The following is a 17,831-nucleotide window of genomic DNA, read 5'->3' as shown; positions in this document are numbered from 1 at the left end:
CCAGCCCCACAGAACCAGGAATTTTCTTTCTGCTCAGCCCTCTCTCAGTCTTCTCAGTTGTCAAATGGGTAGGGCAGTGATTAGAGAGCTCATGGCTCCTCCTTTAGCTATAACACTCAGAGCCACGGGGTGTCCATTCCTCCTCCCAGCCATTCACTCACCCATCTAGCCTGCCTTCCCTCATTCAATAGCTCACTCACCAACATGTCCATCTACCCATCCCTCCATGTGGCAATCCACTTACGTACAAACTTACTCAGCCGCCTTCTCCCCCCGCTTCCCTCTTCTTCTTTTCTCCACACACACTTATCGAGTACCTACTATGTGTCACCAGATCCTCCCACATTCCCCCATTTCACAGCGACTGCCCCTTCCACACGGCAGGCGCAGAGCGCATGAGGAGTGATGGACGTGGGCTGTGGAGATAGATGTGATGCCCCTGAGGACCCAGCTGCCTCATCCACCCCAGCCCCTCCTCACCACCAAACTGGCCTCAGAGCTGTTAGGAGACCAGAGCAGGGGATGTGGCTCCTCACTGTCCCAGGGAGGCCAGCTCCAGAGGGGGAAGCAGCATTCCAAGAGGGCGACCTGGAGGAGGTGGGCTTTGATTTGGAGCAGCTGAGGCAGCAAGGCAGGTGGCATGGGAGGATGGTGTGGGGAAAGAATGCTGCCCTGGGAGTTTGAGGCCCAGGTTCTTACTCCACCTTTGCCCCCAATCACTGACTAGATAAGCCCCTTCCCTTCTCTGAGCCTCCTCGGTAGAATATGGTCATACTGATCACCAGTGTGCTGGGAGGATGAAGTGCCACTCAGGGTGGCTCATCTTCTACCCTGGGAGGTGCAGAGGAGACTCCTAGAGCCTAGAGCATCAGAGCTGAAGGTGCCTTTAAAGGCATCGATCTCACCCCAAAGCCATTTTTACAGGCAAGGGGATTGAGGAACAGAGTGGGAACCCAAAGTTTGGATCACACTGAGAAAAATCAGGTTTGAACTTCTGGTAAACACTTGGTCAGTTGTGCACAGGTTGAGCACCTAGTGCTTGCTCAGGCCTGTGCTAAGAGGTCACTTCTGCCAGCTGAGTGTGGACCTCCTGGTTGGATTTGACCTGTGCTGTGGCCCAGGAGAGCAAGGTGGCCTTCAGCTCAGCAGCCAGTCCTTTGCTGGGTCCCTGGGACAACCTCCCGTACCCACTCCCAGCAGGGCGGGTCACTGTCCCAGGAATGGGAACAGCTCTGAGGACTCCTGGGAGGTGTTGGCCCCAAGGCAGGGCAGGGCAAGGCTTGGGTAAGAAGCCTAAGTGGTCTCAGTCCCTGCAACCTGGATGGATGGGAAACACAAAGCTGTCCCTATCATGCCTTATCCACCCAGACGTGCAGATCTGGAGACCCCTAATCCCACCGCTCTGCTCAGATAAGAGCACTTGGACTAACCTCAGAGGGGAAGGAAAGGCTCATGGGGTCCCACTTGACAGATGGAGAAAGAAACTAAGGCCAGCTGCCCCTTCCTCACCCTCTTCTCAGGGGTTCAAGGACATACAAGAGGCCTGGCCTGGCACCTCAACAACCACTGAGTACCCATTACCCACCGGCCTTTTAGTTCTTTGCCTTCCTAACAGAGTCTAGGTTTGAGGGCCCTCAGGACCTTGGAACCACAGCATCCTAGGGCTTGGGACTTCAAAGAATCTAAGGATGACTGAATCGGAGCCAAGGAACTGCCTTGCTCTCACCGGGCCTTAGCTTTGCCCATGGACCTGGCTAGGCCTAGAGGAGGGGGCAGGGCCCGGGAGGGAACACTCAGGTCTGAGGGGTCATGGGTGCACCTGGGAGGGAGTAACCTGCAAAGCTCATGGAGAAAGCATGTCCATTGCTGGGCACTGAAGGGCCAGAGGGACCTGGACACATAACAAGGCTGAAGAGGGCATCGCAGACAGGAGGCCCAGTGTGGGCAAAGGCACAGAAGTGGGGAATGAGCTTAACCTCTGTGAGAAATAAATAAATACAGAAGCCAGAGCAATGGATGAGCTCTGCAAAGAGGGGGCCTCAGATGGGAGGCCTGAGAGGGGCTGGCCCATCATGAACCTCCAAGGCAGAGCCTTCTTCTGGCAGAGATCCTCCCTCTTTGGCCTCCCAAAGTGTTGGGATTACAGGCATGCACCACTGTGCCCAGCCAGTCTCCCTCCTTCCCTTCTTTCTTTCTCTTTCTTTCCTTCTTTCTTTCTTTCTTTCTTTCTTTCTTTCTTTCTTTCTTTCTTTCTTTCTTTCTTTCTTTTCTTTCTTTCTTTCTTTCTTTCCTTCCTTTCTTTTCTTTCCCCCTCTCTCTCTCTGACTCTCTCTTTCTTTCTTTCTTTTTTTGACGGAGTTTCACTCTTGTTGCCCAGGCTGGAGTACAATGGCACGATCTCGGCTCACTGCAACTTCCGCCTCCCAGGTTCAAGCGATTCTCCTGCCTCAGCCTCCCAAGTAACTGGGATGTACAGGCATGTGCCACCACACCAGACTAATTTTGTACTTTTAGTACAGATGGGGCTTCTCCATGTTGGTTAGGCTGGTCTCTAACTCCCGACCTCAGGTGATCCACCTGCCTCGGCCTCGCGAAGTGCTGGGATTACAGGCGTGAGCCACCGTGCCTGGCCAGTATTGTTTCTTAAATGCCTATTCTGTGCCAGATGTTTTATCTGCAGTTCTGGGCAATTTGGTGGGGGGTGGATTATTCCCTCCCCTTTATAGACGAAGAAACTAAGGCTCAGGAAGGGCCAGTGAGTTTTCCAAGCTATCCCAGCCAGGTGGCATTTCAACATGTTCTTCTTGACCCTAAGGCCCCCTTCTCCATTGTTCCCCCCAAAATCGGAGCTTGGATGCTCAGATCAGGGGATTCCCAGGGGAGTTAGGTCTTCCCTGCATTGAGACCCTGTAGCCATGAGATGGCGCCAGAGGACAGCCAGCCCCGTTCCGTCACACAGCCAGGGAGGGGTGAGGGCAAGGCTGGTCTGCCCACAGTGGGGGGCCTCCCCTCGGGGCTGGCACTGAGCAGCCTCCGGACTGGGTTTCCAGTCTCAGTTCCTCTTGACCCACTCTCCAACCTTCCTTCCACTCACCCTCCCCAGATGAGCTGAAGCTCTCGTTCTCAGGTCCTCACCCTGGTCGATGTGGTCACAGGAGCCACTGGGGACGTGGCAGGGACGACAGGGTCAGCACCACGCCCTGTCTGTCTGACATAGAGGCCCTGGCCTCAAGCATCCACCGCCCATCTCCACCCGGGTACACCTTTGGCAAAACACGGCAGCCCCTCCCCTCACAGCAGAGACAGCCTCTTCCAGTTTCCTTTTTTCAGTTCAGGCGACAACCATGGGGTCAGTTCTAGAGCAGGAGCGACTCAGTATGGACATAGGAAGAAATGACAAGGGGCCTAGCCCTTCAGGCTGCGTAGATCCTATGGTCTCAGGATAAACTTTACATGACCCCACAGCCTCCCCAATCCCCTGAGGCCTTCATATCTAGCATGGATGAGGGGACCTGTTGGCCAAAGGCAGGAGCTGGAAGCCTGAGTCACTGTCTGCCAGCCAGCTGAGGCAGGAACCAGCTCAGACCAGGCTGGATGTGGAAGAGGCTTCCTAACCTTGGCCTGCCTGCCTGCTGGGAAATAAAGGCCTGGAAACCCCCTTGCTTGGCCCCTGGCCGGTGAGTTAGCAGAAAGGGCACAGGATGTCAGGGGTCAAGAGTTCGCTTCCTTCCCCTGAGGAGTCAGACAGGCTGGGATCGACCACCAACTTGCTGTGTGACCTAGGGAGAGCCACCTACCCTCTCTGAGCCTGGGTAAACAGGGCTACTTATGGTACCTACCTACTATACAGGGTCACTATACCCTCTGTGCCCCAGTCATCAACCCAATCCTGACTCTGGGCAGCCTCTAGCCTGAAGCAGGGTTGCCCCTGGAGCCCACCTGAGGCCAGCTTGAGGCCAGATTCCTAAAGCCAGTGCCTCCCTGGCACCCAGAAGACAGAGGGCCGGAAGCAGAGTCCTCTCACCTGGAGGAGTTCTGGTCCTACCTGTGGCATCTGGCTGGCTACAGAAGGACAAACCTGGCAGAAGGGAACGTGGAAGGCAGGGACCCTGATTTTTCTACTCCTTTCCCACTTCCCCTTCTCAACCTCCCACTCAACAGGAATTAAAGCTAAAACTGAAACAGCCATTTTCAGTGAAAGGAAGAGGAAGCTGCAGCTTTGGGGAATTTGAGGGTTGGGGCTGCTTCCTTTGGTTTCTCTCCAGCCTCTTCAAGCTTAGCAAAGATGGAACTTGCATCTCCCAAGACCCCACTATGTATGAGGGGCCCCAGTTGCCGAAGAGTGCACCCACAAGTCCCACCACAACCTGGACACATGTATTCATTGAGCACTAACGATGCACCAAGCATTGTGCAAAATGCTTGATGTGCCGTGTCTCATTCACTCTTCACAACTACTGTTTCCACTTTACAGATGAGGTGACTGAGGCATAGCAAAGTTAGCAAGAGGTTCTTTCTTGGGAATGTGAATGAAGAGGGTTAGAGACCACGCGGCCCCGGTGGGCACAGGGCTGAGAGGTCAAGGGCAGCCCTGAGACTGAGGAACTGTGTGGATAGCACAGAGGCCCAGGGAGCAGCTGTGACAGGGCAGCCCCCGGTGAGCAGAGGGACGGCCTGTGGTGCCCAGCCTGTATAAGTCCACGCCTATAGGGCCACTGCACCTCCCACCCAGTGCTCCAGGAGATCCCCAGGGCCTCCTAAAAAACTCTCCCCTGGAGCTAGTGGGAGAAGCTCTCTGTGCCTTGCCTGGACAACCAGGCTGTCCCATTTGTTTGTCTCCTTGTGGGAGAGGCCACTTGGTTCTCCCTTTGAGAAGGAACCTGCTGCTTAGCTGCAAGTAGTGCAGTTGGCTGATGGCCACAGTTAGTGCCTTCAGGATCCGCCCATCCTCCCAGATAACCAGGCTCCAGTCCGTGGGGGGAGAGATGGCCCAGGTCCAGCCACCTGGCTAGCCTGGCAGTCATTGTTCAGCCCCTCTGTAGCTTCTTCCCACCCAGTTCCCAGACCCCCTCTTATGATGACGACGCTGCCCTCTGATTTTCCTTTGGGGGATCCCCCTTCTCCCCTCTAGAGTCTTGGGGATCTGGGAGTGATGGGTCTGTGATCTAAGCCTACCAATGAGAGAAGAGTGGGCCCCTCAGGCCTGTAACTGGCTCAGGGTGGAGGAGTGACCTTCACTGCATGCCTCAGAGTCAATTCTGGCGCTTTTACTGGGGCATCAGGAAGGAGACAGGTCTTCCACAATATTTGCAAAGTTAGTAGAAAGTGAGGCAGGAGCTGCTGGAGCCAAGTGAACTAAGTTCCAGGCATTGTCCTGGGCGACGGAGATACTGCCACCAGGGAGGAGACTATCCACATAGAAAGCCAAGGAATGGCAGAGATGAGAGATGGGGATGCATCGTTTCCTGAGAACAGCATTGAGTGCCTGGTTTCAGCTGTGCCTGAGGTTTTACCTTTGGTGTCATGAGCTGATAAACTCCCTTTTTGCCTCAATCCATTTAACCTAGGATTCTGTCACTTGAAACTAGGAGTCCTGCCTGTAGATCTGCACCTTGTGCCCAGGAAGACAGGTGACATTTCCCTACGAGAAAACTGAGGCCAGAGAGGTTAGGAACTTGCCCAAAGTGCACTATAAATCCACCATGATACCCTGTCTCTCAGGAAGAGTGGCTTAAGAAAGGACAAAGAAATGGAGGTCAAGAGTCAGGGCAGAGAAGAAGACCAGTCGAAGGGGCGGTGTCAGACTCCCTCCCTTTCCTTCTCTAACTCTGCTAGGAACAGGGGACAAGGTCTGCTTTGCCTCTGGAGCCTCAGAGACCAGTATAGGCTTTGGCCCAAGAGGCACTGGGAAATGTTGGATGACTGGATCCAGTCTATAAAGATGAGCGCCGGGGCTCTGTCCTCGGTGCTGCCTGGTTCCATTTTTTTTTTTTTTTTAAATCTTTGTCTTGACTGATGACAGAGAAGATTTGTCAAGGAGAATGAAGGTAATGGGTTCAGGAGTAGCACCTCTGAGACTGCTTGGGTCCCCCAGTCCCCACCTCAGGAAAGGCAGACCACTAACCCCGCCAAGTGGTTATTGTGGGTTATGATCCTGCCCATTTCCCAGGCAGACCCTGAGGCCCGAAGGTAGGCAGTTTTGTCCACAACTCGTACAGGTAAGGTTTGGGTGTGGAAGGGGAGCCTCAGGGAACTCCTCCCCTCCCGTGAAAGGCAGCCCCTGCCTTGATTCCTGTTCTGATCATCCCTAGCTCTTCCTGGGGCCTGAGCCCACCTGGCAGTGATAAGACGTCCAGCTGGACCCAGGGGTCAATGACAGGCCTCTGAGTTCTGGACCCTCAGGGCTAGGGAGGCCTTAAGGTCACCTGACCCAGAGGTCTCCCCATCATCCCCTCAGAGAAGGGGGCTCTCTGAAGCCTCCCTGACTGGGCTTGTTTGGCCCCTGCCTGCATACTTCCCATTGCAGGGAGCTCACTCCTCTCCTAGGCCACTGCATTCCACCTTGAGAAAGCTCACTGGGAGATATGCTTTGTCACACCAAGCCCCAAGATCTGTCCCTAGTGACTGCTCTCCCACACCAGTCCAGCTTGCCTCTGGGGCCATATAGCTTGGCTGCCCCAGGACACCCTGCAGAGGTTGTCCCAAGACCATCCATCTATTGGTCTTCATTCTCACCAGGCAATTTCAGGCACATGTCCAGGTCCCAGGAGACCTAGTGGTGGATCCTCAAGGATGAGGCCGTGGTCTGTGGCTGTTTTCAAACCTGAAGACAAAACCCTTTGCTACCCTCTGTCCTGTTTCATTGCCTGCCTGGGGCCTGTAAGGGGGGCATAGTCTCTTCTTTTGGGAGGAGGAAACTAAGGCCCCCAACAGCTTAGTTACTTGCCAGGGCCACCAATCCGTCAGTGATCTTCCAATCAGCAGGACTGCCTGTCGCCAAACCCCAAATCTTCACCCTCAAACTGGCCTGTTTGTGGCCAGTCCAGTGTGGGAGGAAGAGGACTTTGTGGGTGTCCAAGGGGTGGCCTGGGAGGAAGAGATCAAAGTAAGGGGCAACTACCTCATTCAGAGTGCAATGTAGGAGGTCAGCAGGCAACAGTGGCTCCTGCTGTGGAGTGTGCATGAAGAACACAGGACAGGCCGGGTGTGGTGGCTCACGCCTGGAATCTCAGCACTTTGGGAGGCCAAGGCGGGAGGATCACTTGAGCCCAGAAGTTCGAGACCAGGCTGGGCAACATAGAGAAAGCCTGTCTCTACCAAAAAATGTTTAAAAATTAACTGGATGTGTTGGCGTGTGCCTGTAACCCCAGCTACTTGGGAGGCTGAGGTGGGAAAATCGCTTGAGCCTGGGAGGCCAAGGCTGCAGTGAGCTATGATCACACCACTGCATTCCAGCCTTGGCTACAGAGCGAGACCCTGTCTCAAAAAAGGGACGTAGGACAGACCCCCTCAGGTGGTCACTCGAATGATACCTTCTCCATGGGACCTTCTCCTACCACTCTAAGCTAAAATTATAAACCCCTACGCAACGCATGTGCATGTGTGATTCCTACGCCCCTTCTCTGCTATATTTTTCTCCTTAGCATTTAAAATCTTTTAATACACTGTTCTACTTATTTATTGGTTATTGTCTCTCTCTCATGACTGAACATAAACTCCACCAGGGCAGGGGTTTTCGTGTTTTTTTTTCACTGCTGCATGTACTTAGGACGGTGTCTGGCATATAGTAGGTTCTCAATAAATATTTGTTGAGTGAATGAACAAATAAATTCCAGACGTGGTTCAATTATGTCTACACAGAGAGGACTGGGTGCACGGGGGTCTTGGCTTGAGGCTATTCATGTAGCAAGCTGTAGTTTGTACTTAAGAGTATGTGTTTATTGGGGATTGGGAGCAGATAGAGATTAAACGTGAGCACCAAAGGCCTTTAAGCCAGCCCTGGGGCTGCTTCTGCCTGGCCGTGTGTGTGAGATTTGGGCTGTGAACAGTCCCAGCTGAGACGGGTGAATAGAACTTCGCCTGGCAGGGCTAGGCAGCCTGCATCTCCCTCCTGCCCTGCCTGAGGTTTTCTCTGGTACTCTCACCTCCCTGCACAGGATCACTCCCTCTGCACCAGGGCCCGGCCAAGGATCTTCCTGGCTTCTCTCCCTCCCCTTGCCAGCCTAGGCCTCCCCACCAGGACCCAGGATTCCCATGAACACAACAAGTCAATTCGTGTCCCTCATTCATGGTGACACCAGACTGCTCCATCCTGCACTGTGGGGCTGAGTAGAGCTGGAGGACATGACTTGGTTGAGTGCCTGAGGCCCTGCAGACCCTGTCACTGCCCCACTTGGCTGGGTCCCCAACCTTTTGTCTGTCCTAGGGCATCCTCCCTCCTCTGTCTTCTAAGCCTTGGCCCCATCTTTCTTGTCAGCCCCATACCCTCAACTCTACCAGCCCTCAACTCCTCCTTCAAAGCAGACAGCCTTTCAGAGGGGCTGCCTTCAGCTTCCCACTGTCCAAATAAACCCGTGTGTCTGCACCTTCTCTCCTCACCCATCCACAGCCCCGCGGGACTCCAGGTACCACCTCCTGCCCTCTCTTCAGCACCTTCCCTGTGCTGCATCTGCTGGTTCCTTCCCCTCAGCCCAAACACTTCCCACTCCCCAGTCCCTCTCTCATCTGAGCAAAATGTCTTCCTTGACCCCTCGTGCCTCTCCGTCTGTTCCTCTTCCTCCCTGCGCAATCAAGCTTCTGGAAGAGTCACCCACAAGCCCTGCCTCCCTGCACCCATTTCTCACACACTTACAGTCAGGCCCAGGGCAGAGCAAGGAGCCTTTGAGCCCAGCTCCGGGAAGAGCAGTGGGCACTCTGTCTTCTGGGTGAGGCTGGCAAGATGGAACCAAGGAGCCAGCAACTGTCTGAGCTCCATCCACAAGGAAATCTCCAAAGTGATCTTGAAAACACAGGCCTCGGGGAGAAAACAGGCCACTGAGCATGACTGGGCTTGACGTCCCTGAGCACCACCCAGGGCTGGTGCAGGGCTAGGGGAGGAGAGCCACCTCTCTGGCTTCCAGGAAAGGGCCTGGACTCTGCCTGGAAGGTGGGTGGGGATCAGGGCCGGCAGGGGCACCTCCAGGACATCTGTGTAGCAGGGGATTAGGGAGGTGACTGGTTGGGATGATACCTTTGCATAGCTTGTGACACTGGTTTGAGAAAACATCAATGGTTTCTGTCACAGAATAGGAGGGGTCGTTGCTTATGGAGTAGGTGAGGGTTGGGGTACAGGGCTCCCCAGATTACTGCCCCTGGGGATACAAAATGTGAGGATTCACTCCTGGAACAGGTCTCTCCTCAGAGCTCCCCAGAAAACCCAGAGTTCTTCAAATCCCAGCCCATGGAATTAGATCCAAATGCCCAATCCCAGCATTTGTACCCCTCTGTCACCCATCACTGTTCCCTCTGCAAAGCTTGGCACCCAACAGACCTGGGGGTTCCCGTCCTGACTCTGCAGCTTATGAGCTGTGACTTTACCTCTCTGAGCCTCTGAGTCCTTAATTTTAAGTATTGTCAACAGTCACAGCATCACTGGGGGCTCAAATGAAATAATGGATCTAGATCACCTAGCCCAATACCTGGTGCACAGGAAGTATTTGCTCAGTGGGGCTTCTATTATCACCCATAATTTTATCATAGACCAGCCAAACTCATGAGAAATGACTTCCCTTGCAACCTTTGCTCCCTTCCTCCCTCCCTCCCTCCTCCATTCATTCATTCATTTGCCGTGCATTTACAAGGAGTCTTACAATATGCAGGCACCTCTCTGGGCTCTGTCCTTTGAGGAGCTCCCATTAGTGGAAAAGACAGATGAAGATGTAGAAACATGGGTCTCTGGGAAGACAAAGGAGGCCTCTAACCCTGTCTGTGGTATCAAGCAAGGCTCCCTGGAGGAGGTGATTCTTTGGTGGAGTGTGGAAAGAAAAAGGCAGGTGCTCCAGGCAGAGAGACCTGCTGGAGATGTGGGACCTCAGAGTACCTGCAAGTGTTTGTGTTTGCAGGTGCTGAGGGGCCTTGCAGGAGGTAAGGCTGTGGGGTCATTAGGGCCAGGCCCAACAGGCCTCAAAATGCCAGGCTACACACGTGGCCTCTGCATTGAGGGTGCCAGCTGAAGAAAGTCCTCATTGGGAGATCCCTTTCTAAAGCAGGGCAGAGGCATGATCAAATTTGAGACTTAGAAGGTCCCTTGGGCTGCTAGTTGGAGGATGAATTGGTTGTGGTTAGATTCAGAGAAAATAGAGCCTCAAATGGGGTTGTGGCCGTGGGATGGGGAGGCTCCAGGGACCAGCCAGTGGTAGGCTCACAGCAGTCTCAAATGGCAGGCTCACAGCAGTCTCCCCTGCCCCCTAACAAGCCCTGACAGCCAGAGTAGTGGAAAGACAGATGTTCCACACCAGCTCGCAGGTCACAGGTGGAAAGCTGAGGTCCAGAGCAGGCAAGAGGATGCTGTAGCCCTGCAGGGAGCTGGTGGGGAGCCTCCCATCTCTGTGTCCAGTCATCAAGCCTGATGCTCCAGCCAGGGGCAGCAAAGGCATGGCTTTGGTTGCAGGGGACTTGGAGGAGTAGAAGGATGACTTGCTCCAACTGCCAGACCCATGCAGGCCCTCCTCCATCAGACAGACTGGGGAGGGGAGCCCTTAGAGCTTCCAGAGTTCTCTCCTCACCTTTGCACCCATTTTGCAGTGAGGGTAACTGAGGCCAAGAGAGGAGAGACATTCGGCTCCTGGGATAGCACAGTCATCTGGACATGGGATGTCAGCTGTGGGAGACAGAGTACCTGGTTCCCAGGCCTGGCCTTGCCCCTGGGCAGCTGGATTCACAGTTCCCGAGGACACTCAGCTGGTGAGGGGTGGAGTTCTAATGGCACCACTGTCTGGCTCCTGCTTGGCCCTTGTGCCCAGCACAGTTCCCAGGGGTCACTTCCCTTCCATCCTAGCCTGTGTCTGTAAGCCATGGCTGAGCAGAATAGAACAGGAAGGAACTGTGTGCCATCTGCTCCAGATCACTGTGAATGTGGGCTGGTCCCTTCTTGGATGGAGGACCCTGGGCCCCACCCTGCCCAAGGGAGCCAGATGTCCTCAGCACAGCTCAGCTAGTCTGTGCCCCACTGGCTTTCCCAGGGTGGGCTTGGGTGGTGAAGCCCAACTCTGGTTCTTGGAGCTTACAGACTTGACCTAGCACCCTGAGTGTCTGGTCTGTGCTTGACCTGGACTGTACCAGGGCATGAGGATGGGCTGAGGGCGCGGATGAGCTGATATAGCAGACATAGTTACTGGCCATTTAGAGTGGTCAGTGCCAAGAGCCCGCTGTCCTCTAATCCCACCTGGAGAGGCCAGATGGGCAGGACTTGTCATTTCTCTGGTGGAAAAACTGAGGTCCCACTTCATGTCAATCACCAAGCCCTGTTTGTGCTCCATTTTCACATTTCAAACTCCTCTTCTCTCACCCCACGGCCCCTCCCCCAACCTAGACCACATCCTTCTCATGCTTTCTGGTTTTCCATCTCCAGGGCCATTCCAGCCCCTTTCTGTGGCCAGATGGACCCTGGCTCAGCAAAAGTCTGACTTCATTGTTTCTCTTTCTACGCCCTCTCTATATCTTCCCAGTGCCTGAGGATAAAGGCAAACCCAGTCCCTGCTGACCTCTCCACTCTCAGCTCCCATTCCTGCCCCTTGCACGCGACCTGCTGGACTCTGATTTACTTTCAGTTCCTGCTCTTCTTTTGCCCCTCGTCAGTGCTGTTTCCACCACTGGACTTCCCTCTCCCCACATCTGTGGCTGGCCAACTCCCATTGTAAACTCAGGGACAGGGGAGGCCCAGGTCCTGCCCACAGGTGTTCAGTGGGGACAAGGGACATCTACCTGAAGATCTATAACCCAAAGCCCCAGAGTCAGTGCCCCAGAGTCCTACCAGAACACAGGCATGGAGGGATGGTTCCACAGGAGAGAAGGCTTGGTGAGGAGGTGGCAGTGAAATGGTCAAGTGTATGTAGAGGCAAAAGGCAGAGTCTGTGAGAGGCCTGTTGAAGGATGGTGAACAGAGCTGGAGCTGCTCTGGATGTGCTTGAAAAGAGGCCCAAACTAATAATGATGATAATACAATTATTGAAGCCTTAGTGTGTGCCAGATGTGCATTGCCCCATTTAATCCTCATAAGGACCCCGCAAGGTGGGACTGGTTATTATTTTCATTTTATACTTCTGGTGGGGAAACCAAGCCACAAAGATTAGCTCAAGGTAGCACAGGAAGAAAGAATGACTCCTGGGCTAGTCTGAACCCAGGCAGCCTGGTTCCAGAGTGCATATTCTTAGCCCCTACAACAGAGCAGGACTGGGGTAGGAAGGATTTCAGGTGGCAGGGAAATCCAGTCCCTCTACTGTTCTGACCCAACCTGCCTGGGGCCCAGCTTGCCCTGGCCTTGCCCTTCCATCAGTCACAGGGCCTCATAAATGCTGCGTCCTTTAGGAAATCTTCAGTGATCAAATAGAAGGATTCCTTCTACTTCTCCCAGGCCCCTCACAGGAAGCCTAAGGTAAGGGACACCCTTCTAAGCAGAGCTTCCCAACCCTGGCTGCCCATCAGATTCCTGGACTCTTTCTGGGGAGGAATGTTTGCCTGTCCTGCATCTCTTCCTACTGGGAGACTCTCGCCCCATTCAGTGGCAATTTTCTTCATTCAAGGTGGTCACCAGACCCAGGATCCATCCAGACCCTTCACCAGTGATTGGTTCAGGGGCAACCAATTAGAGTTTGCCCCAGGAATTTTGTGGAACCAGCATGAAAGACTCTCACTCTTTTTCTCCTGGATTATTAGCTGTGCAGACCATGGAAGACTGGTGCTTCTGGAAGGAACTTGAGTGAGAATGTAGGAACCCAGTGGAAAGTCAGGAGAGAGATGTTCATGGCATCCTTGTAACTGCTGGATCTAGCCATGTCAGATCTAGGTCTACCTTGGGCTTTTTATTTATATAAACTGATATACATTTTCTTGCCTAAGCTAGTTGCATTTGTATCTTGTAACCAAAATATCCCTAACCACCCTGAACCAAAAGCATAGGCAAGAACAGCAACAACAGCAAATTAAATAAGTTGAAATTTATCAAAATTTAAAACTATTGTACATCAAAGGACATTATCAACAGAGTTGGAAGGCAACCTACAGAATGGGAGCAAATATTTGCAAACCATATGTCTGATAAGGTATTAATATCTAGAATGTATAAAGAACTCCTACAAACTAAACAGCAAAAGAAACAACCCAATTCAAAAATCAGCAAAGGACTTAGACATTTTTCCAAAGAAGATATACAAATGGCCAATAAGCATATGAAAAGATGCTCAACATTACTAATCAATAGGGAATGCAAATTAAAACCATGCGATAACACTTCACACCCATTAGGATGGCTATTATTAAAAAAAAAAAAAAAGGCCAACCTAGGAAATAAGTTGTTGGGGATGATGTGGAGAAACTGGAAACCTTTGCATTACTGTGGAAATGTAAAATGATGTGGTCTCTGTGAAAAATATTATGGCTATTTATCAAAAAATAAGCATGAAATTACCATATGATCCAGCAATTCTACTCCTAGAATTCCAACCAAAAGAACTGAAGGCAAGGACTCAAACAGAAGTTTATACATCAATGTTCATAGCAGCATTATTCACAATAGCCCAAAGGTAGAAACAAGCCAAACAGCTGTAGATGGATGAATAGATAAATAAAATGTGATATATACATACAATAGATTATTATTCAGCCTTAAAAAATGAAATTCTGATACATACTACAACGTGGATGAAACTTGGAAACCTTATTCCAAGTACAACAAGCCAGTCCAAAAGGGACAAATACTGTATGATTCCACTTATATAAGGTACCTAGAAAAGTCAAATTCATTGAGACAGAAAGTAGAGTGGGGGTTGCCAGGGGCTGAGAGGGTGGGAGAATGGGGAGTTATTATTTAATGGGCATAGAGTTTCAGTGGATGACTTTAAAAAGTCCTGGAGGGCTGGGCACGGTGGCTCATGCCTGTAATCCCAGCATTTTGGGAGGCCTAGGCGGGTGGGCAGATCACCTGAGGTCAGGAGTTTGAGACCAGCCTGACCAACATGGTGAAACTCCGTCTCTACTAAAAATACAAAAATTAGCTGGCCGTGGTGGTGTGTGCCTGTAATCCCAGCTGAGGCAGAAGAATCACTTGAACCTGGAAGGCAGAGGTTGCGATGAGCCGAGATCGCACCACTGCACTCCAGCTTGGGTGACTGAGCAAGACACTATCTCAAATAAATAAATAAATAAATAAATAAATAAATAAATAAATAAAACAGTCCTGGAGATGCATGGTGGTGATGTGATGGCTGCACAACAATGTGCGTATACTTAGTACCAGTGAATTGTACAATCAAAAAGGATTAAAATCATACATTTTGTTATGTATATTTTATCATAATAAAAGACAAACAAAATAACAACAAACAAACAAACAAACAAACAAAACTCAGCCTTGACCAGCACATCTACTGTATTGGGAGACAATTCTCCAAGGGCCACTCAGATTTCTGCAAGTCTTGTGAGCAGAGACAGACTGCCTTTGTTCCAGATGATCTTTTCGAGGATATCTGTAGAGCAGACAGCCTTGGAAGATAAAGATAGAGATAGTGTCCCCTTCTGGAGCCAAAACCAGGTTTATTGACTGTCTGGTATAACAAATATAACAAATATGATGTCTTCCTCTGGGGCAAAGTTCAGGTAGGTTTGCTGCCCCTTATAAAAGATGCGGATTGCCTAAGCTCCAGGTTCCTTACCTTGTCATGCAAGCCATTGCATGTGAAGGTATTACCTGGCCCCCTTTGCATTGTCCTGCAGGAATTGGGACAAATGCTGATATTTGGGCTAATCCTATTGTGAGGAACAAAGTTCTTTATCTTTAACCAGAAGTCTTGCGTCTTCTGCCAGCATCTATGAAACTGTAGCAGGCCAACTCATTGGCTTGGAAATGTGGTCAAATTACAGGCCCTTCCCACTTTCTTCATACTTTTTGCATCGGAATCTCAGGTGGGAGAAAATAAAAATCTGTATTTCTAGCTGGGCCCAGTAGCTCATGCCTGTAATCCCAGCACTTTGGGAGGCAGAGTTTGAGACTGGCCTGGCCAACATGGTGAAACTCTGTCTCTACCAAAAATACAAAAATTAGCCAGGTGTGGTGGCGCATGTCTGTAATCCCAGCTACTTGGGAGGCTGAGGCAGGAGAATCGCTTGAACCTGGGAGGCAGAGGTTGCAGTGAGCTGAGATTGTGCCACTGCACTTCAGCCTGGGCGACAGAGTGAAACTGTGTCTCAAAAAAAAAAAAAAATCTGTATTTCTGACATTATGATGCAGTGATGCAGTGGGCCAACTTGGGTTTATAGGAATCTTGCCCTGGACCTAAGCCCCTGAAGAGTTGGTTTCCTCATTTTGGAGGCTGCTTCTCCCTTTTCACTCCAGCTGCCAGGAAACTCACAGTGAAGTTTCCCTTTCACCTACCTGAGGACCAACATTCATCTCAAGCTTCTATGTAGTTTCTATATTCCTGCTCCCGGATTTAAACAAAATTAAGACATAATTCACATACCATAAAATTCAGCCTTTCAAAGTGGACAATTCAGAGGTTTTTAGCATATTCACAAGATTGTGCAACCATCGTCACTATCCAATTTCAGAACATTTTAATAACCATAGAAAGAAATCCTGTACCCAATAGCAGTTACTCCCCATTCCTTTTATCCCCATCCTCCTGGAAACTACGAATCTCCTTTTTGTATTTATGAATTTGCCTGTTCTGGACATTTTATGCAAATTGAATCATACAATATGTATCATTTTGTGTCTGACTTATTTTACTCAGCGTGTCTTCAGGGTTCATCCGTGTTGTAGCATAAATAAAAATTTCATTTTTATGGCTGAATAATATTCCATTATATGGATAAGCCACATAATTGTTTATCTGTTCATCCACTGATGGCATTTTGGGTTATTCCCACTTTTTGGCTATTATGAATAATGCTGTTGTGAACATTTGTGTAGAAGTTTTTGTGTTTTAAATTTCCTTGCGTATACACCTTTGAATGGAACCAGGGGGTCATATGGTAACTCTATGTTTAAACTTTTGAGGTGCTGCCTAACTGCACTCCAAAATGGCTGTATACTTTTTCATTCTCACTAGCAGTGTATGAGATTTCCAATTTCTTCACATCCTCGGCAACACTTGTTATTGTCTGTCTTTTTCATTGTAGCCATTTTAATGGGTGTAAAGTGGTATCATATTGTGGTTTTGATTTGCATTTCCCTAATTGCTCCTTTTCTTATGTTGTCATTCATATTTTACCATTTAATGGTATGCTCTGAGGCCTGACATCTTGTGGAACAAGTACCCCACGGAGTGGGAGAGTCATGAGTTTCGGGGACAGATAGTCCTAGGTTTGATCCCCTCTGCATCTACTAGTTATATGACCTCAAGCAAGTTATTTAACTCTCTGAGTCTCAGTTTCCCCACTTATTCTATGTGAGTTATAGTATTAACCGCTCTTGGTGTTGCTGTTATTATAAGATAAATCTATAATAAATCCCCTGAGTGGGCCTGGCACAAAGCAAGTCCTCCATGAATCTCACCAATGAATCCAAGAGTCAGAAGGGGAGATTTCCAGCCTGGGAGGATACCTAGGCTGGGGACTGTTTAGCTTTTAATCTATAACCTGCTTTACTCCAGCAACTTCTTACAACAGAGGCATTTCTGTGCCAAACATTAGCCTCTCTGTGCCTCTGTTTCCTCTCCATGCTATGGAGGTGTGTCCTTCTCAGGAGCGTGGCGGGCCACAATGCGAAGGCATGAGGAATGAGACTGCACCATGCTGTCAAGTACTAGTGAATCTGCAGGACAGGTTCTGGCACTTCCAAGTCTGTCTCTTGCCTCAACCATCAGATTAGCCGCTGCCTGAGGGAATTTCTCCTCCCTTAGACAATGGGCTCTCCTTCTCCTGTGCAGGTCTGTCCCTGTCATGCCCCTGTCCCTCAATAGAAGGGATAGGACACTCAGGAACTGTGGGCTGATTTGAAAGGCTGGTTCCCATCCCTCTGGCATGATAGAAACAAGGTTATCCCTCACTCTGAGTTGAGATCTGCCTCCTGGTACCACAGGACAGCCACCACTCCGTCCCAGGCCATGAAAACCGGCACTGCCCTGGGAGTCAGGATGCCAGGCTCTGTCTCAGCTACTGCAGAGTTCGTCTTCCTGGAGCTCAGTACCCAGCCCCTGAGTTCCTAAGGGGAGAGCTGGACCCACTAGCCCCTGGGTCCCTGGAATCCACACAGGGCTGGGCACAGAAGCCACTGACCCAGCCTACGCCATCTCCGTAGACCAAATGACTGCGTCTTGCTCAGACCCTGCCCTCCCATGGAGCTATTAATGACAGGGCCAGCCCTGGGACAGGGGAAGCAGCAATATATCACCCCATGCCGGGGCATTGGCCCTAACTGGACAAGCCAACAGTCACAGAGGGAGAGCCAGAGCCTGGGCTGCCGGATCCCCACCCCAGCCTGAAATAGAAACCTATTTCAGAGACAAATGGGGAAATGGTCCCAAGGCAGGAGGGGGCAGGGTGGGCTGTTGCACCCAGCTTCCTGAGAGTCTCGACAGGCCCCGGGTCCTCTGCTGTAATGGGCACCTGTTGCCAGGTTCTGCCGACTCACTCTA

At 51.0% G+C, this 17,831-nt stretch overlaps 1 protein-coding gene across 14 annotated transcripts in view, besides 2 other annotated features; it reads right to left on the bottom strand.

The window, feature by feature from the left end:
- Positions 1-17,831, bottom strand: part of P2RY6 (pyrimidinergic receptor P2Y6) — a 34,120-nt gene that overhangs the window by 6,054 nt on the left and 10,235 nt on the right. The gene's annotated exons all lie outside the window — the stretch shown is intronic.
- Positions 2,688-3,254: an enhancer, noted in NCBI's record as "H3K4me1 hESC enhancer chr11:73000363-73000929 (GRCh37/hg19 assembly coordinates)". NCBI's record gives its function as "activates a minimal SCP1, AML or CMV promoter by ChIP-STARR-seq in naive H9 embryonic stem cells {active_cell/tissue: H9 hESC(naive)}" and the evidence as "EXISTENCE:reporter gene assay evidence [ECO:0000049][PMID:30033119]".
- Positions 3,806-3,855: an enhancer, noted in NCBI's record as "active region_5232". NCBI's record gives its function as "activates an Ori minimal core promoter by ATAC-STARR-seq in GM12878 lymphoblastoid cells {active_cell/tissue: GM12878}" and the evidence as "EXISTENCE:reporter gene assay evidence [ECO:0000049][PMID:35858748]".

The sequence above is a fragment of the Homo sapiens genome, chromosome 11 (assembly GCF_000001405.40).
Source record: "Homo sapiens chromosome 11, GRCh38.p14 Primary Assembly".
Lineage (NCBI taxonomy): Eukaryota > Metazoa > Chordata > Mammalia > Primates > Hominidae > Homo > Homo sapiens.
The sequence above is the reverse complement of the archived record's forward strand: the minus strand, read 5'-3'. Positions and strand labels throughout refer to the sequence as shown.